The 19,198-nt window shown below is 42.6% G+C and overlaps 1 protein-coding gene across 3 annotated transcripts in view; it reads right to left on the bottom strand.

Annotated features, from left to right (window-relative positions):
• LRMDA (leucine rich melanocyte differentiation associated) overlaps positions 1-19,198 on the bottom strand; it is a 1,128,545-nt gene that overhangs the window by 660,110 nt on the left and 449,237 nt on the right. Inside the window, exons 2-3 of one of the 3 annotated variants that reach the window (NR_131178.2) lie at positions 17,276-17,403; positions 16,534-16,805 (exon numbers count right to left, since the gene is read on the bottom strand). The exons of the other annotated variants lie outside the window; for them this stretch is intronic. The gene's annotated coding sequence lies outside the window, so the exon portion shown is untranslated. The remainder of the gene's footprint in view (positions 1-16,533; positions 16,806-17,275; positions 17,404-19,198) is intronic. 3 annotated transcript variants of the gene reach the window in all.

Here is a 19,198-nt window from a genome sequence, read left to right as displayed (position 1 = left end):
TCAACACAAAAGTATTTGTTTTCTCAAAGGAAGAGCCCCAGCTCTAATCTCCAAGGCTCACACACATCAAAGCTGGAGAACTACTGTTCTGCCTCACCAATGTAAATAAAATCATACACAAATATCTATGCAAATTAATAGAGACAGGTCTTCAAAGAAACATTTCTCTTCTGGGCCTGATGTGGATTTGCAGAGTGCTCCCCCAAGAACATTCCTGCAAGGGAGTTGAACACATTGGAGAGGAAGGTGAAACCAAAGACAGTTCTCCTGGGCTCTGTCCTCATCCCTGCAGAACTAGTACTTTGGGGATATGTCCAGATTTAGGCGAATCCTGTACCAAAGCCATGAATGGATGCTTCATCAGTCCCCCACCTACTCCAGCCCCAAATCTAAGAGGTTGTAGTTGGCCATTTTTGGAAAGGAAAGGGAGAAAGGAAGACATCTTTAGCTGAATGGATGCCCTTAGCTGCTAGATCACAGGCCCCGCATTCTGGCCTTGCATGTAACAGCCACCCAGTAACTGTCCATGACTGACCACACAGGTGAACAGAGAAGATGCATTTACATTGTACCTCTAGGATTAAGACAAACTACAGGAAAACTTTCCTATGCTAGCGCATCTGAAGAATGTGAGTCTTTGTCTTTACGTAGCACACTGGGCACATCTCTGTCTCAGAACTTAACGCATTTCATAGAAATGATTCATTTCCATGTCTGTCTCCTCTACTGGATTATAAGGTTCTTCATGGCTAGACTTATTCTAGCATCGCATCTGGTAAGAAATGTTTGCTGAAGATTCTGAACCAAGTTTGGTAGAAACAGCTCTTCTGGAAAAGCAAACACTAATAATTTTTGAGAGGGTTGGAGCTTTTGAAGTACTGGCGTGTAACCAAAAATCTTGCCTTCTTCAATAGTCTTCTCTGCATTTGAATATTTTACTATAAGCGAGAAGTCAAAGCACCCTATATATGAACCTGACTAATGCCCAGGCTGCAGAAGGGCACAACATTTTGTCTGCTTCTTGGTAACCAATGCACAGCATAGGGCCAGGTATAGAGCATGTACCTGTGTGGAAAGATACACACATGGATGGTTTTACTATTTCTGAAATGTCGTCATTTTCAAGGGTATTTCCAAATCTGGTCACCTATATTATAGTCCAAAAATCCCACCACAAAACTTTCACTTAAAGTTTAAGGCCCTGAACCAGCAGACTCCTATTTAAGATTAAAACATGAATAGCCGAGCCCAGAAGTAAATTGAATCCCAAAGTTATCTATGAATTAGTCTGTACCTTGGACTATATTTTCCCATACAGCAAGGTCAAGCTTCAGAATGACCCATAAAGTCTTTTATCTTAGACATTTCTTGAGTTTGGGACAATCTAAAACCTGGACTCTTTTTTTTTCTTGTTTTGAGAAATTCCCCAAAATGTGTGTTTTTTTTTTCAGTGGGCAGTGCCCGTTCCCAGGGTCCAGTAGAAGCTAGAGCATCCATACCTCTCCTCTCCCTGCTTTCCCGGCAGGCAAAGCACTGGCAAATCCCTTGGCTCAATTCTTTAAATTTCCTCACCTGGACTTTGCATCAGGAACAAGTGAGATGAAGACAGAGAGCTGGTGAGGATTCATTTATGATACAGCAGTGTCAAATGCTGGGACGGAAGTTTCTGCCTCCAGAAATCTGTCTTGTGTCCTCTTTCTAGAACTTCTGGACCTGCTTTGATATCTTTCCCTTTCCCTTACCAGGTCCTTCAATCTCTGACCAGTTATGAGAATCCCTAAGGTTCTTCTAATGGATTCCTTCTTTTTTTATTATTTTTTAAATTCTTGGACTAAGTAGCAACAGGCAATTTCTTTGTTTCAAACCAATAGTCTTTACTGGTTTATCATGGTCCAAGATCAAATGGAATATATTTGCTTTAAAAAGTAGTAGGAAGGCCAGGCGCAGTGGCTCACGCCTGTAATCCCAGCACTTTGGGAGGCCAAGGCAGATGGATCATGAGGTCAGGAGTTCAAGACCAGCCTGGCCCACATGGTGAAACCCCGTCTCTACTAAAAATACAAAAAAAAATTAGCCAGGCGTGGTGGTGGGTGCCTGTAATCCCAGCTACTCAGGAGACTGGGGCAGAGAACTGCTTGAACCTGGGAGGTGGAGGTTGCAGTGAGCCGAGATTGTGCCACTGCACTACAGCCTGGGCAACAACGTGAGACTCCGTCTCAAAAAAAAAAAAAAAAAAAAAAAGGCAGGAAGAAGTGCTTTAGCAAAACTAGCTCATAAACAACATAAATCCTATAAGCCAAGAAGAGGTTTTGCTTTTCCTTGAATATGAGTATTTGAGGATAGATCATTTTGATTAGAAGTAGGTGGTTTAATCTTAGGAGATCCATTACTCTGCCTCAAGTGAACTATGTAACCACTGAGAAATTTCTTAGTCCCTTTAGCCTCAGTTTCCCTGGCTGTAAAATGAAAGGACTGATTAGATAATCCTTAAGTTTCCTTAAAGCTCAAGCATATTTTATATCTAAGGTTCGGTAGAGGTAAGAATGAAATTCTTCAGGTCTAGCAGGCATTCTCCAGGCCCTTTGTCAACTCAGTGATTGCTAAGCACTCCTCATCTCCTACAGTCACCCTCCCCAAACATCAGAAGAACAAGTGCTGGCCTTGTGTTCCCCACTTCTGCAAGGTTGCTGACCTTAGACTATGATCTTGATTAGAAAATGAAAGGCAAGAAACCTGTAATGTTAAGGGCCTAATTAACTTTGTCATTAAATCAAACTCTTGAACTTAACCTTTGGTTCTAGGAAAAGAATTGTTGATAGAAAATTCTGCTACTCATTGGAGAGCCATTACCCATTCTAAGAGGCATATTTAAACTTATTATTGCCCCCAAACACATAGATAGATATTGCTATTATACATGGCGGAAGAATGGCCACTGGTTCAGAACAGGGCTGGGTGTCTGCTAATGTTGAATACATTTCAGCTTTTCTACGGTAAGACCTTAATTTCAGAGATTTATAACCAGTGTAAATCTGCCCTGAACAGAAGCCTGACACAAAATTACTTTGCCCAGTAGCAATTTTTTTGAAGTTTTGGACTAAGTGCCTTTTATTCAACTTTACAACCAAAAAAATGAAACAAAGCAAAGCAGCATGAGATCTCCCTTTAGGCTACTAATATTCTCTTACACACACACACACACACACACACACACACAAATGCACACTCTCAGAGTTAGCACTGTTATCTCTCAGTCCCTTGTGGAACAAGGTCCATGCCTCAGTACAGGTCCCAAGTAAGAGAGAAGTGGGGCGGATAAATATTAAACGAGGAGGCTGATGTCAGAAATTCACAGCCCAGCGAAATTCCTGTAACCTATGTGCTGTGCCCTTTATGTGTGATCATCACCCACATATCACATCAAATCTTCATAGTCACTTTGCTCATGAATCTATGTTTTGAGGCAGCAATGACTACTTACCCAGACACATTCTCAACAGTTAAATAGGATTCAGCAAGGGCAACACCACAGGCCACAGGCCACAGGCCCCTGTGACACACCAGGGACAACAAGAGGTCTAAATGTTTCAGAGGCAAGAGGCAATGAAGAGGAGAAAATCACAATTAAAAGAAAAAACAACAACTTTTGGATCATCAATAAACAACTGAGTGTGCTAAGTGCTATTCTAAGTGTTTCATATTTACATAATCATCATCATCAACCCACAAGTTAGGTAATACTGTTTTCCTTGCTTTCAGATGAGAAATTGGTTAAGTGAATTACCCCAAATCATATAGCTAGCAGGTGGAGCCAGAACTGGAAACCTAGAAGCTCTTGAGTTTGTGTTGCACCCACTAACACCAAAGTACTCTCTCCAAAATAGAGATCTCATTATTCTGTTTTAACACCCATGAATGACTGTAATAACGAGAAGCATAACAGTAATAGCTGGTATTGATGGAATATGTCATATTTTTCATCTCCTTTCCATACATGAACTCAATCTTTATGATATCTTAATAAGGATGATGCTTCTATTATCCTCAATATACACATGGGAAAACTGAAATGCAGAGATTATGCAAACTGCCCTAGGTCACAGGTTAGTAAGAAAAGGACTGGAACCCACAACCACATCTGTCTGATTCCAAAACCAACAAATCTACTCACTTCACCATACTCATTTCTCATACAACTTCCATGGTTTTTATCAGAGTACATGCAGGGCCATCAGAATGGCAATTTCCTATGCTATCTCTTCTCCCATGTTCTAAACATAAACCCGCTTATTTCAGAAAGGCCTTCTGCCTTCCTTCACGTGCTGTTCTAAACCCTACTCAATTTCTTTGTGCAAGGAACTCTTCCCTGCTGGGGATTTCCTAAGCATGCTCACACTATTCCAGCATCATGTAATACCTGACATTTACTCTTTATGTCATGTATCTCTATTTCCACTTCCACTTATCACTGCCAAAGTCCTAGGAGATATAAGAGCCTATAACAGAGTAGACAGTAACCTAGATTCTGGAATCAAGCAACACAATTTGAATCCTGACTTGGACACTAGCCAGCTGTGTGACCTTCAGCAAGTTACTTCTCTGTACCTTGGTTTCCTAACCTGTAAAATGGGTACATGATGAGTATGTACTTCACAGGGTTTTTGTGAAGATGATAGATGTAAAGGACAGCACATGGCATATAGTGAGGGCTCAATCAATATTCACTTTTGTTGTTTGTGGTGTTTTAGGAAATGGTTTTAGTTTTAGCTAATCTGTTTCTAGGTACCCTCCACTTGAATCTACACAGCACCTGACAGATTCACCTTAAAACACCACTTTCCCCATGTTGTTTGTTGGCTCAAAAGCTGCCCATCATCCAATGAATAAAGTCCAAACACTCACTATTGAGAGTAAGGTCACATAAAGGATGGTGGTAACCACAGGATTTCCCTGTGGCTTTCAGGATAAAATTCAATCTCTTCTCCAGGACTTCAAGTTCTTCTGAAAGCTGTCCCTTTCCCACTGGATTTCCACTTTTCATCCAAACAAATCCTACCCTCCAGGCCAGGAAACCACATGATTTGGGGTAATTTACTTAACCAGTTTCTCATCTGAAAGTAAGGAAAACAGTATTACCTAACTTGTGGGTTTATGATGATGATTATGTAAGTACAAAACACTTAGACTAGTACTTAGCACACTCAGTTGTTTACTGATGATCTAAAAGTTGTTTTTTCTTTTAATTGTGGTTTTCTCCTCTTCATTGCCTCTTGCCTCTGAAACGCTTAGATCTTCTGGTTGTCTCTGGTGTGTAGTCAGCAAAGGGGCATGGTACCAAGCAGTCTTGCAGTGCTCCCCATCTTATGGCATTCTCACATCTTTCTCATGCCAGGCTACAATGCCCATCTCCATACATGCACCCACACACCAACTATCCTTCCAAAGCAGTGGTTCTTGAGCTTCATTATGTATCAGAATCACTGGGGGTAGATCTACTTTTGGTTCTCCCACTATTGGGTGTCTACCCAGAGGAAAAGAAGTCATTATATGAAAATGATACTTGCACACACATGTTTATAGCAGCACAATTCACAATTGCAAAATCATGGAACCAACCTAAATGCCCAACAATCAACAAGTGAATAAAGAAACTGTGGTATATGTATACAGTGGAATACTAATCAGCCATAAAAAGGAAGGAATTAACGGCATTTGCAGAGACCTGGATGAGATTGGAGACTATTATTCTGAGTGAAGCAACTCAGGAACTGAAAACCAGACATCGTATGTTCTCACTGATATGTGGGAGCTAAGCTATGATGACACAAAGGCATAAGAATGATACAATGGAATTTGGGGACTTGGGGGGAAGAGTGGGAGGGGGACGAGGGATAAAAGACTACAATAGGATGCAGTGTATACTGCTCAGGTGATGGGTGCACCAAAATCTCACAAATCACCACTAAAGAACTGACTCATATAACCAAATACCACCTGTACCCCCAATAACTTATGGAAAAATAAAAAACAAAATTAAAAAATCAAGTATTATCAGGTTCTAAAAAGAAAAAAACAAAGAATCACCCAGAGAACTTTTCTTTCTTTTTTTTTTGTTTTTTTTTTTTTGTGAGACGGAGTCAGTCTGTCACCCAGGCTGGAGTGCAGTGGTGTGATCTCGGCTGACTGCCACCTCCACCTCCTAGGTTCAAGCAACTCTCTGCCTCAGCCTCCTGAGTAGCTGGGATTACAGGCACATGCCACCACGCCCAGCTAATTTTTGTATTTTTAGTAGAGATGGGGTTTCCCCATCGTGGCCAGGCTGGTCTTGAACACCTGACCTCAAGGTCCACCCGCCTCGGCCTCCCAAAGTGCTGGGATTACAGGTGTGAGCCACTATGCCCAGCCCAGGGAACTTTTCAACACACAGATGCCCAATGAGTCTGGGGCTGGGCACAGGCATCTCAGTTTTCAACAGTTCACCAGGTGATTCTGAGATGTAGCCAAAAGGTTCACACATCCTCAGGATTCCTGGAAGCTCTGCCACTTCCGCTTTCAAACTAATACTAAGCATTATTCTGTTATTTGGCATTTCATGCAAATATACTCTGCTTCCCTTCTAGACTGGAAAGTCTCTGAGGGCAGGAAATACGTCTAACCTGTTTATAAATACAATGGCCAATGTCATTCCCTGCTCTCTTAGGTTTTCATACATATTTTTGATGTGGGTTTTAGCCTTGACTATCTGGAGAACATAATTTCAGGGCAGATGGAGATCAATGACAAATATTTTGGTGTCATCTATATGCCTAGCACCCACTGAGCCCTCAGTAACTCTTTAGGGGGTCAACTGGCAAACAGTAGGTGTCCAGTAGCTACTGGAAGACTGTTTGCATCACCAGGTCGTCACTAAGAAGCCCATGTGCATGCTACCAAACACACGCTGTACAAACAACACAGTAACCTAATTCCTATCACACGAGTCCAACCCAGTGAACCTTTACTGAAAGCCAGCCTCAGGGTACTAAAAGGAATTGGCTATCTTGAGATGCAGTGGTGGCTTAATTTTTATCATGCATTTATGACATCTAACCATTGCCCAAAAGTCTATGCTGCTCAGTTCCTCTCTACTAGGGCTTTCTATTACCCACAGTTGTCCCATGGGGGCTCTGAATTGAGGCAAAGGAGCAGTTTGGCCAGATGAGCTCTATAGGTTTACCCAAATCTTTAAAAATGAGGAATGTTTTAAAGGTTAAAAAGTTATCTGTGATTCCTTAGGCCCCTGAGAAGTGAACCAACCCAGGACCAGTGAGTAGGGACATGGAATTTGTCTGAGGCCTGACCACAAGCTTCCCTCTACTCCAGCCACAGGTGCCAGAGGCAGAACTTTGAGATGAGTATGTGATACATTATCGGCTGCTATTACCATCCTTCCATAGCCAAAAGAAAGAGGCTATTAAACATAATATATAAAATAACATTTAGCAAGGAAATCTGGATAATTACTTAGTAAAAAGGACATTGAGTCAGGTTCTAAGCCATTGCCCTGAATTGGGAATGGTATTACTTATGTCTTAAGTTAAACTGAGTAAAACTTCCTAAGCGCTCCCTTAAAGAACACCTGTAAGTAGTGAGTTGGAATATCTCATCCATCCTGCTTTGTGCTGCAATAGGGCAGGATTTCAGGGCCCTGCCACCCAGAGCTCCCTGGGCTGAGCCAATTCAAGGTGACAGGGACATCCCAGTCAGTGTGGAGTCCAGGTTTCCCTAGTGTGCACTGGAGTTGGCATAGACAGGCAGAAGCTGAAGGGTCCAGTTAATAACATATTTTCTTCCTTTTGCTGCAATTGATGAATATTAAAATTACATTCAAAATGAGAATAGACAAGGAATATAACGAGCAAGCGCACTATATGGAATCAGAGGACATTAGAGCTGATTAAGTTCCAGCAATACCACCATGATCACCAAAACCCATTGATCATCACTGTCACGCTAATTCCCTACATGTATCTGGTGGGGAATGAAGTGATCTCATTCAGCCTCATGACTTTAAATATCACCTACATACTGACAGAAACTCCCAAGTTTCTAGCTCCAGTCCTGACCCCTCCCCACAGGGGTCCTCTCAATTCAGTTACCTTCTTGACATCTCCATTTGGATGGCTGATAAGCATCTCCAGTTTAATATGTCCAGAACCTAATTCTCAGCCCCAAATCTGCCCCTCCTTGCCAGTAAATGGCACCTCCACTCTTCCTGTTGTTCATCTCTGTCTCTTACATGGTATTTCCAGTCAGCCAATCCTTTCAACTCTTTCTTCTAAAACATCCAGAATGTGACCATGTCCCACTACCCCCATGGCAATCACACTCTGATCCACCAACCAGAGTGATCAGTAGGAGTCTAAAATCAAGTCAAATTATGTCAAAGCCTTTCAATGGCTTCCCCTCTAATATACAATAAAACCCAAAGTCCTGACCAGAGCCTTTGAGGTCACCCATGACCCAGCCTTTGAAGTAGTACCTTGCTTCCCCATCTCACCACAATGACCTTCTCACCCAATTGCAAAGTCACCAGCAAGCTTCTGCCTCAAGGCTTTGTGTGTGCTGTTACCTCCACAGACATCAAGATGGCTCCTCTGCTCCCCTCCCTCAGGTCTCCTCTGAAAATGCTGATTCTGATTCAGCAACTGGGATGGGACCCAACAATCAGAATTTCTACCAAACCCCTAGAAAATGCCAATGCTGCAGGTCTATGGACTACACTTGTGGTAGCAAGGGGCTATAAGACACATGTCTGCAGTAATTAAGCCAAATCCATTCTTGTTTCTTCCTACAGGGAAGGGCAGGGACCTCTCAACAGCTTCCTGGCAGTTTTCTCAGGTGGGCCAGCCACTACGCTACACAACACAATATGGCCAGGAAACTTTCTTTCTTTCTTTCTTTTTTTTTTTTGTGAGACTGAGTCTAGCTCTGTCGCCCAGGCTGGAGTGCGGTGGTGCGATCTTGGCTCACTGCAACCTCTGCCTCCCCAGTTCAAGGCAATTCTCCTGCCTCAGCCTCCCGAGTAGCTGGGATTACAGGCATATGCCACCATGGCCAACTAATTTTCATATTTTTAGTAGAGATGGGTTTCACCATGTTGGCTAGGCTGGTCTTGAACTCCTGATGTCAAGTAATCTGCCCACCTCAGCCTCCCAAAGTGCTGGAATTATAGGCATGAACCACCACACCCAGCCATAGGCCAAGAAACTTTCAACAGCTTCCTGGCAGTTTTCTCAGGTGGGCCAAGCATGCCATGTGCAACATGACATGACACAACACTACAGTAGCTCTATACCATGGCCAGCTGGCATCCAAGCTTCTACCTCTGTGTACCAAGTCAATCTTGTTGCATTTTGTAAAGCATGGTACAGGTCCTCTTCACTATCATCATGACCCCCACACATATACACACCTACAAAATGAACACAACTACCAAGATCCAGCCAACTTCAGGACCCTCACACCACCTGCCAAACAACCCCTTCTGTCCAACTCTGAGAACCCTGGATCGGCTTCATATATCACCAGCAAAGATGAATAACCCTGGCCCTGGCCATCATTTGTCAGGTGAGAACTGATTACATCCTGACACTACTCTATTCCCTGATATTACCTCTTTATTATTCAGGGAAGGGTATGCTATTCCCAAAGTAATTTTTTAATGTTTTGTGTGCCTTTTAAATATCAGCCACCACATATATAGAGAGAGAATTCAAATGACTGCCTAAGATATTCCATTTCAGGCTTAAATCTTTAAATATACTTATGAATTTTTGACTTTGACAGATTTTCCAATGTCTCTTCCCTCATAATGGAAATAGATACCAGGGAATCCTCATTAACACCATCTCCTTGGGGCCCTCTCCTTTTGCAATGTCCCTTCCATCTCAAGATGTGAGCTTTGCGTTTGCTTACAGTGAGGACTACTGAGGTCGCCAGTCCTTGGGCCTGAGCTGGGTTGCATCAGAGGATAAGGGGGCCATGTTTCTGCTTACATGGAACAGGCTTTTCTTCCACCATCCTTTACAGCACCAATAGCCAGAACATCTTCTAACCAGCTAAAATCCACCTACCCTTCAGGTCCCAGTCTTAGAGTCTTATTCTTCTTTGATCAGCCCAGCCCTCTTGGCCAAACCTCTATAGCCCTTAGTTTGAACCATGCAATTTAGCAATTAATTAAACATAACCATATCATAGAATGGTCTTGTCTCTCCAGCTGGGGAGGGCTTGGGCCATTCCACCCCCATCATGTGCCTGGTTTGATGCTCTGCACAAGCAAGTTCTCAATAACTAACTGCTGAGTGACTTCAAGAGCTGCAACCGGATTTGTTTGGTACCCACATGCCACCTCTCCAAGTTCAGCTCTGATCTTTAGTAAGTTGCCAGTTCTAGGCGTGTGCTGGCACAATTGCACAATCACCCAATCTCACCATTCTTGCTGCTCACAGTTACCTCCATCTTTAAGCATGATTTAATACCAAAGTTTGATCCTGGAAAAAAAATAATAATCCATTGCAATGTTACTGACAGTGCAATACCCCTAACACCAGAAGAAAGCAAGGAGGGGAAACCTAAGACTCTAATAATCTCTACTCCAAAAAGCAAGGCTATGCTCTACCAGCAATTCCTTCTAACTCAAGACAATAGCTGAAGGGAAAGGACCTGTTCATATTTTTCCTTGTGAAAGGAAAGATGATTTCTAGTGTTCCTAAAGGTGGTTCTAATTTCAGGTTTGAACCTGAAAATCTGGCTCACTGTATTTATCCTTCGCACATGCTTGGGAGATTACATCACTTGCTAACATTTCATATTCTTTACTAGGCAGGTCATTAAGAATCTCGCACACAGGCTGATTTTGTCTCAGTTTCTCAAAACTCCACAAACACCCTTGGAGCAGGGATTCCCATTCATACCACTTGACATACATGTATACACACACACACATATAGCTCACTCTTTTCTGGAAAGTTTGCACTTAGCTATTTCCATTTATATCTTTGTACTATAGTCAATGGGCAGAGGAAGAAAGAAATTCTTACACAGAAAGGTAATAAGGCATTTTTAAAGAAAACATGTCTAAACTAGATTGCTACAAAAGGCCCATTTTTATCCTAATACCTACTTTTGGCATCTTGTCTAAGACCCGCTTAGTAATTACCAGAATCTTGTCATTTCATTTTCCATCCCTCTGCTAAGACCATATTAGCCATCCCAAAATGAGCAGGATATTATATTACAAATACATGTACGTTGATGGCCCAGATGTTATTTGTACATTTGAAGTACGACATCTTTACTCCTCTGTCATCATGCAGAAGTAATTAAGAATAATCAAGTGGGTGTTAATTGGATATAATGAAATAATCTCCAGTCAGCCCGAGCCTAATATTTGCTTCCTACTAGTAATTATGAACACTAAACATTCGTGCTAATCTCCTTCTTCTTACAGAAGCTAAACAGAGATACAGTATTTACTCAGCTGATGGCTTGTTTTGTCTGCAATTTAGGCTGTTTTAAGCTAGGAAATTCATAATTTGCCAAGCTGTCACCAGCTGCTGGGCCCAGATCAGGGATGTGGAGTTTCTAGTGACAACGGTTCAGTGTATGTCATCTGAGAGGAAAGGACAGATATTAATTAAACTGACCTCTAGTTGCAACTGTACCTGAACGTGTAAATGCCAAAAAAAATCGAAGTTTTCAGATCCACTATTGTGGATCACGAACTCATCATACGCGGAGAGTGTCAAGAGAAAGAAAAGAGTTTCCACATGCAGCTCTCAGAACTCTCTCTTTTTTTCTTCAGTACTGTTGCCAGGCCTCTGTGGCTACAGGGCTGGGGCTGGGGCTGGCCTTTGGTCATATTCTTCAGGAGCCTCTTGGCTGTTGGACAACGATTACAGGAGTGAACTAAAAGTGTCTTATCGAGAGTGACCATTAGAAACGTATTACTGGCCATTAAGCAGATGGTTAGATGTTTTTAAAGAGCTCTTACATAGTAATAGAATCCAGAGTCATTGACTATATTTATTACTCTCTTAAGAAAGTGGAAAAAATAAAAAGATCGGATGTTTGTTCCAGAGGTGGTTAATTTCATTCTCTCAGGATCTCCAGGAGGTCATAGGTAAACTAAAAACCGGCAGCTGGTGACTGGATTTTAAAACAGGCTTCTGAGCAAGGTGATTAAAGTTCATTTTCTTCCTTCCCTATCAGAACTCAGCTAGGTGAGATTCCAAATGAAGACCCCCTGCCTTATGGTAGTAGAATCAGTGATATGAACCAGATATGCATCTAGACCAGAGGTCACCAAGCTTTTTCTGTAAAGGGCCAGATAGTAAACATTTAGACTTTGCAGGCCATAAAGCATATGTCACAATGACACAAATCTGAAGTTGCAGCTCAAAGACAGTCACAGATGACAGTATATAAATGGGTGCAGCTGTGTTCCAATAAAACTTTATTTACAAAAAAAAAAGGTAGCAACAGGATTTGGCTTACAAGTCAAAGTTTGCCAACACCTCAGTTAGACCACACTGAAGCCTGCTAAGACAGAGATGATGTTCGGGGGAAACAAATTCACCCACCCAGGCCTCCGTCAACACTCCCTAGTTTAATTCATAGAAGAGTCTCATTTTCTCCTATAGATACATTTCTAAAAATGTGCGTGTACCAATATATTTGTATCCTATTTTTCCATTATTTTTCCATTAATACATAATTTTATGTAAAGCTTTATCCTCATTTTGAGACTATAAGGAATAGCAGTCACCACATCTCTCCAAAGCCAGTATTTTTCTATAAATTCATTCATATATATTATTTTGTTATTATTTACATAAATCATATATTTATATATAAATATTACATTTATGTATAAATGTATATATACTTATATATAAAATCACCTCTTCGTTCCCTGTGTTCATAATTTCAGATACCAAGTTTTCTTAAAGGTAGAACCATCTATAATTATTTGGCAAGCAAAATCTGTCCATTCTAGGTCATCTATCAAATAGCGGCCCAGAACTTACCACAACAGAGACACACCTTGGATGTTATAAAATCTGAAAGAATTTTATTAAACTTCAGGATAAAGTAGAAAAGCACAAGAACCTAGGAGTAAAGGGCCCTGACGATTTAGTCCCAATTCTTTTATAAATAACCGTGTGACCTGAGACACTTTACTTAACCTCTCTGAGCCTTAACTGGCTCTGAAAAATGAAGGAGCTGGAGCAGAGGATAGCTAGAGTCACCTTCCGAGCTTTAATATTCTCTGATCAGTGGATAGGAAACAGCTTAATTAGCTTATTTGATTATAGGATAATACTAATGAGGCCAAAGGAGTGAGTTAAATAGCCATGCAAGACTAGCTAGTTTTAAATAGAGAAAAACACTGTCACACAGATTATAACTCAACTTGGTTGACTGAGGGGGTGTAGCTAGTTCAGTCCTTCTCAAATCAACAACATAGAAAATATGTGATTATGATGAGTCAGAAACAGCTTTACATGACAAACAAGATCATCAATATTTTAATAAAAATATGACTGCTAGGCTACAAAACCAAGGATTTCACCTAGTTTCTTTCTAGTTATGTGGTGCAGGATAATTTCTTCCCTGATATGTCATAGACCTATTTGTGGTCCTACCATACAGGACTGGTGTGCAGTATACACCATGTGCAATTCATTTATGACTTTAGCAATATACAAACTGGTCCATACACTGTTCAGCCAAACAAATCCAGCAATCACATGCTTGGGTGTCATGCAGTGTCCAATTTCTGTAAAAGTTTCCTAATGTATATGCTCTGTTTCTATACTTACCTAGTCATACACTAGAAACCATCTGCAGACCAATGTCAACTAGAAGATGGGGCTGCTGGTTGTCACTTTCTGTTATGTACAAGAGATTTCAGCCACAGCTTAGGGGTGGAAGGAAAGCAAAACTAGGTGTATTGCCACCAAGTTTCCTACTTTCTTCTCTTTTCCAGGTTTATATTCTCTCACCAAATAATCCAAATAACCTTGGAAAGTTCAACTACGCTTCTTTCATGTCATATCTTTATTCATTCATCTATTCAGCAAACATACCAAACAACTTCTATGTGCCTAGTCATGCTCAAGGAACTTGAGACCTAGTGGTAAATAAGACAGGTGTGGTCCCTGCTGCAATGGAGCTCAGCGAGCACTTTTGAGGAGGCATGTCCTAGGCACATGTGTTATGCTTATGCAATGTCTATGTTAAGTATGTCTTATCATCTGAAATTCTGTAATACTTCATATTCAGTCAGTCCCAATTTACTAAACATCACAATTCACCACACAGCCTGATGGCTTTGGATGTGTAAAAATGAATGACACATGGCCCCTGGCCTCAAGGAGCTTGCAGCCTAGAGAACTCCTCTACGTGATCTTTCAGGTGGGTGAAGAGCCAAAGTATAAGCCATCACTTCCATTTCCACAGATTCCTGAGATTGACTGTATTCACATTGTCAGCTACACCAGGAGCTTCTATAACTGGGCCTCCTTAGTTACAGAACATGTCATGCTTAAGCTGAAAGGGTCCACAGAGACCTTGCAACATTTTACTTACGAAAAGCTGAGACCTGGAGAAGTGAAGAGGCTTGCCCAAAGTCACACAACTAGTAGGTAGAAATATATCTGATGAGGATCACATCCGAAACAGTTACTGAGTAGGGCTCCAGAGCTGGCTGGCACATTCAGGAAGGGGGCCTACCAAGCATGCAAACAGCCCAGCTTCAGGAGAGCCACTCCAATCAAACAAACAGAGAGCAACAGGATGTGGCGGCAGCATTGCAGGGTGAGGAAGCACAGCAATGCCTGAGAGGCCTTGGGTATGCCTGCTGTCCTCCCCTGGCCTCCTGAACTGCTGTCCTTCCCAGGCCTCCCGAACTACTGTCATCCCCCAGCCTCCTGAACTGCTGTCATTCTCTGGCCTCCTGAACTGCTGTCCTCCCCCGGCCTCCTGAACTGGAGTTCTCCCCAGGCCTCCTGAACTGCAGTGCTCCCTGGGCCTCCTGAACTGCTGTCCTCCCCGGGCCTCCTGGACTGGAGTTCTCCCCAGGCCTCCTGAACTGCTATCCTCCCCGGACCTCCTAAACTGGATTTTTCGTTGGGCCTGCCCAACTGCTGTCCTCCCTAGGCCTCAGTCTTCTAAACTGGAAAATGATGCTCATGACTTCCATGACCACAATGGTCCCCTTCAGTTCCCAAGCTCTACCATGCAAACCTGACTCCACCACTTTGGAAATCTGGATAACCTACTAGAAAAAGCAGACTACACAGAGTAAGCAGAAGCCAAGCAAGGAGTTACTGTCAGGCCCTGCATTGCTTCTTTAAACAGCCACTGTCAGGTTCATGTAATAAGGAAATCCAGAAGACTCTAATTCTCCTGTCCCTAGGTCTAGCCTACAAGGCTGTCTATCCATGATCTCATTCTAGTTGGCTCCAAGTCATCTTAGTTTCTGATCTTCTTCTTAGTTCTCCATCTGCTTCTGCTAGATCACAGGACTTGTCACTTGGTGCCATCCTTGAACTAAGACTTTGGACTCCTCCTTGTCTATAATTCAGATTATCCAACCTCCAGCAGCCCTGAGAAAATAGTCCCTTGGATCCTACCTAGACTATGGGATCCTACTTCAGTTTAGACCTTAATTAAATTTGTTCAGTTTATCCACAGCTCACATGAAAACATCCCCTCCCCTACACACACACACACACACACACACACACACACACACACACACACACAAAGTCGCCTGCCCTTCCAAACACTAGCATAATAGTGGAGGGGAGCTTTCATTGAACTCTATTGTGAAACATTCCATTAATTCAACACCCACCTGCCAAAAAAATCTAAGAGCTCTTCAAATCTATTAACAAACTTCAATATTCAATATACAAATGTTCACGTATGTCTACTAAAAAAAGAAAACAGACCATCAATTTAGCCAAGAAAAAAATAAAAATTCAAAAGCAGCTTATGGAAGGTCAAAACCCCTCCTTATGCCTCCGATTTAACAACAAACGCCTCACAATGAATAGCTTGATGAGGACAGGGCTTTGCACTACAGTGAGAATTTTTCTTTTATTTGGCAAGCAATGAAATCATTAAGGTAATATATCACCATTCCCACTAACAGAATCTCCTCATGTCATCTCCTTCATTGTACATGCAAGCAGAAGACACACATCTATTGTCTCTTACTTCTGGAAGTTGTAAATGTAGGGAAATTGTCGTCATTAAATTGAATATAATGATCCTCTCCCCCCTCCTCCTTTCATTCCCTCACTCAGTACCTCGGCTCTGCCTGACACATACCTTGTAAATGTCAACACAAAAGTATGTCTTGAAGACCAATGGGCAGAAAGTTCTGATTACCAGCAAAAATCCATCATGTGATAACCAACGCCCACCCCTGCAATGAAAGGAAATGATAATTGCTTTGCCGTGCAAGGTGAAAAGGCTGACCTCAAAGTGTCTCTGGTGGTATTAACATGTAATGAAGATGGGTGCAGACAAAGGCCACTGCTGAGCACCCCAGGGATGCCATCAGAAATCTTCAACTCTTGGGTGTGCTGTTGAGCATAGGCTGATTATCAGCCTACTCTGTACTCTCCAAGATGTTAACCCAGAGCCTGCTTGGCACAATCCTTGAGGGTAACCAGGGACTGCTCACAAGGTCACAGTGAGGAAAATTCCCAGCCAGGGCTTATGGAGGGTTCAGACCAGGAAGCCAACTCCTGTGGGAAAAGAGGAAGGAACATAGCACCTGAACTCTGCCCAGAGAGTGCCCGATGGTTTTACTGCTAATCGGTAGTAGAATGGGTAGCTTTGATGTCATCAGCATTTGGCTTGAGAGGTCAAAATGAGAGCACTGGAGCAACCAGCGTGCTGAGCTAGCAAGGAGAAGGAGGAGGTTTCCTGACCTGGGGGATTGTGCATGAGGCCTCGGTCCATGGGTTGTCAGGGACTGTCACTGGGGCACAAGGACTGTTTGGCCTTGAGCATCAGTTATGTTATGTAAATTACGCTTAATGAAAGTGCGGCCTTGGTCCATAAAAACTTAACAATGCATTTGTCTTCATTTGATCATTCCCCAGCAGCCACCACCTCCCTTTACAGACCATAATAACTGGGCTTTCACAGCATATCCCTGTCCTCCACAGCCACCATCAGGAGGGCCCTGGAAGGGGGAGAGGAATTGGCTTACACTTAATAAGACAAATGTGCCATCATGGAGTTGGCATCAGGTGGCCAAACACGCACACAGGACAGAGGAGCAGATGCGGTCGTGCCCGTCCCTCCTCCCCAGGCCCTCTGTTAGCAACGTTCAGATAGCTGGAAAACAGAAAACATTGTTTTGCATTCCTGAGAGCTGGATGTCACCTCTGATTCATCAGCAAGCATTTATTAAGTGCCTCCTGTGTACATGCTACATAGAAAAGACATATATCTTTATCTTTTCATGCATGTCACAATTTCTGACTCTTAAGACACTCCATCTTGAGATACCTGTAGAAAATTTTAGGTGCTCTATAGCTGCTGTCCTCATTTCTATGCCAAACACCTTTGCAGAAGGAATTTCAAAAAACAAAGAAATTCAGTTTGAAATCCTCAGCTGAAAGTTCCAATATAGGTCCCCAGAATTGAAGAGGAAAGGAACTATGATTATATTACAGTGAGAAGAAGAAGTTTGAGTTTGGCTTGCAGTGAATACAACCTCCATAATTATTTCACATTTAAAAAAAATAAGATTCCTGGCCACCACCTGTGAGGCCTTCCATTAACTGACCCTGCTCGCCTCCCCAGGTTCAGTTTTGCCCGTCTTCCTTCAACAACCACTCAGGCCTCTTTTCGGTTCCTCCTCATAATCACCAAACTCCCTCCAGTCAAGAGGCTTTGCACTTGCTGTGCCCTCTGCCTGTGATGCTCTTCCCTCTCCTCTTTTCCTCTAGTTAACTCTGCACCCTTCAGCTCCCAGGTGAGCCAACACTTCATCAGGAAAATCCAGACCTCCATCGGTCAAACAAGGTCCCACCACAACACCATATCCTTTTTCTGAAACCTTAGCCCCTGTTGTTACCAGGAGAGGGTCTTGACTGCAAGTTGTCTAGGTTCTTGGAAGTTTGGACAAAGAATTGGACAAAATGCGCAGCAAGGTAAGGAAAGAATGAAGCAAACAAAAGCAGAAATTTATTGAAAATGAAAGTACACTCCACAGGGTAGGAGTGGGATGAGCAGAGGCTCAAGGGCCCTGGTTACAGAATCTTTTGGGGGTCCAAATTCCTCCTAGAGGTTTCTCATTGGCCACTTGGTGTTCACCCCATGCAAATGAAGTGGTGGCCTGCAATCAGTCTCACTGGTTGTGGAAAGCAACGAATCAGAGGCTAAAGTGAAGTTACAAAGTTACACTCCTATGCAAACGTCTGATTGGTTGCAAAAAGCCATCAATCAGAGGTACTTTCAATTTTCCATCTGCCATGCAGAAAAGTAGGGGTAGTGGGGGGGAGAGATTTGCAAAGGGAGTAGCCTCTCGTCCTTTTGTTACTTAGTGTGGAAAGTTGGGGCTTTCCTTTTGATTCAGTTCTAGGAAGTCAGCGTGAATCGGCGTTAGGTTCCCTGCCTCCAGATCTTATTCTCCTGCCTCATTATCCCTATTGTGACTTTACATCTGTTTATGTGAGTGATTTTATAATTAATGACCTTCACCTCTGCTAGATGGTGAGCTCCAGGAGGGCAGCAGCCACCTTTACTTTTCCTTACCATCAAATCTGTAGCACCAGCACACCGGAGGCAGCTACAGCCATTGCTAAATATGTATGTATGTGTATCCATACATACTGACCACTTCCTCTCCATGACTATGGGAAAAATTAGCAAGAAGAGAAATCTGCTTATATTCACTGGACAGGAGAAGAACTGAATGAACCTTAACAGTGACTGAACACTAGAAAGAGCTACTAAGAGAAGCCAGGTGGACTCCAGGTAAGAACATCTTCAAGAAAGTATCATTCCTCCCAAACAGGAGAGTAGGCAGATGGTCAGATGACCTCTCATGAACCTGCTGTTCCTGCGTTTCCTGTCCTGGCTGCCCGACTGTGCAGCATGGTGGTCCTATCCCATCATACAGTCT

Source organism: Homo sapiens, chromosome 10 (genome assembly GCF_000001405.40).
Source record: "Homo sapiens chromosome 10, GRCh38.p14 Primary Assembly".
In the NCBI taxonomy this organism is placed as follows: Eukaryota; Metazoa; Chordata; class Mammalia; order Primates; family Hominidae; genus Homo; species Homo sapiens.
The sequence above is the reverse complement of the archived record's forward strand: the minus strand, read 5'-3'. Positions and strand labels throughout refer to the sequence as shown.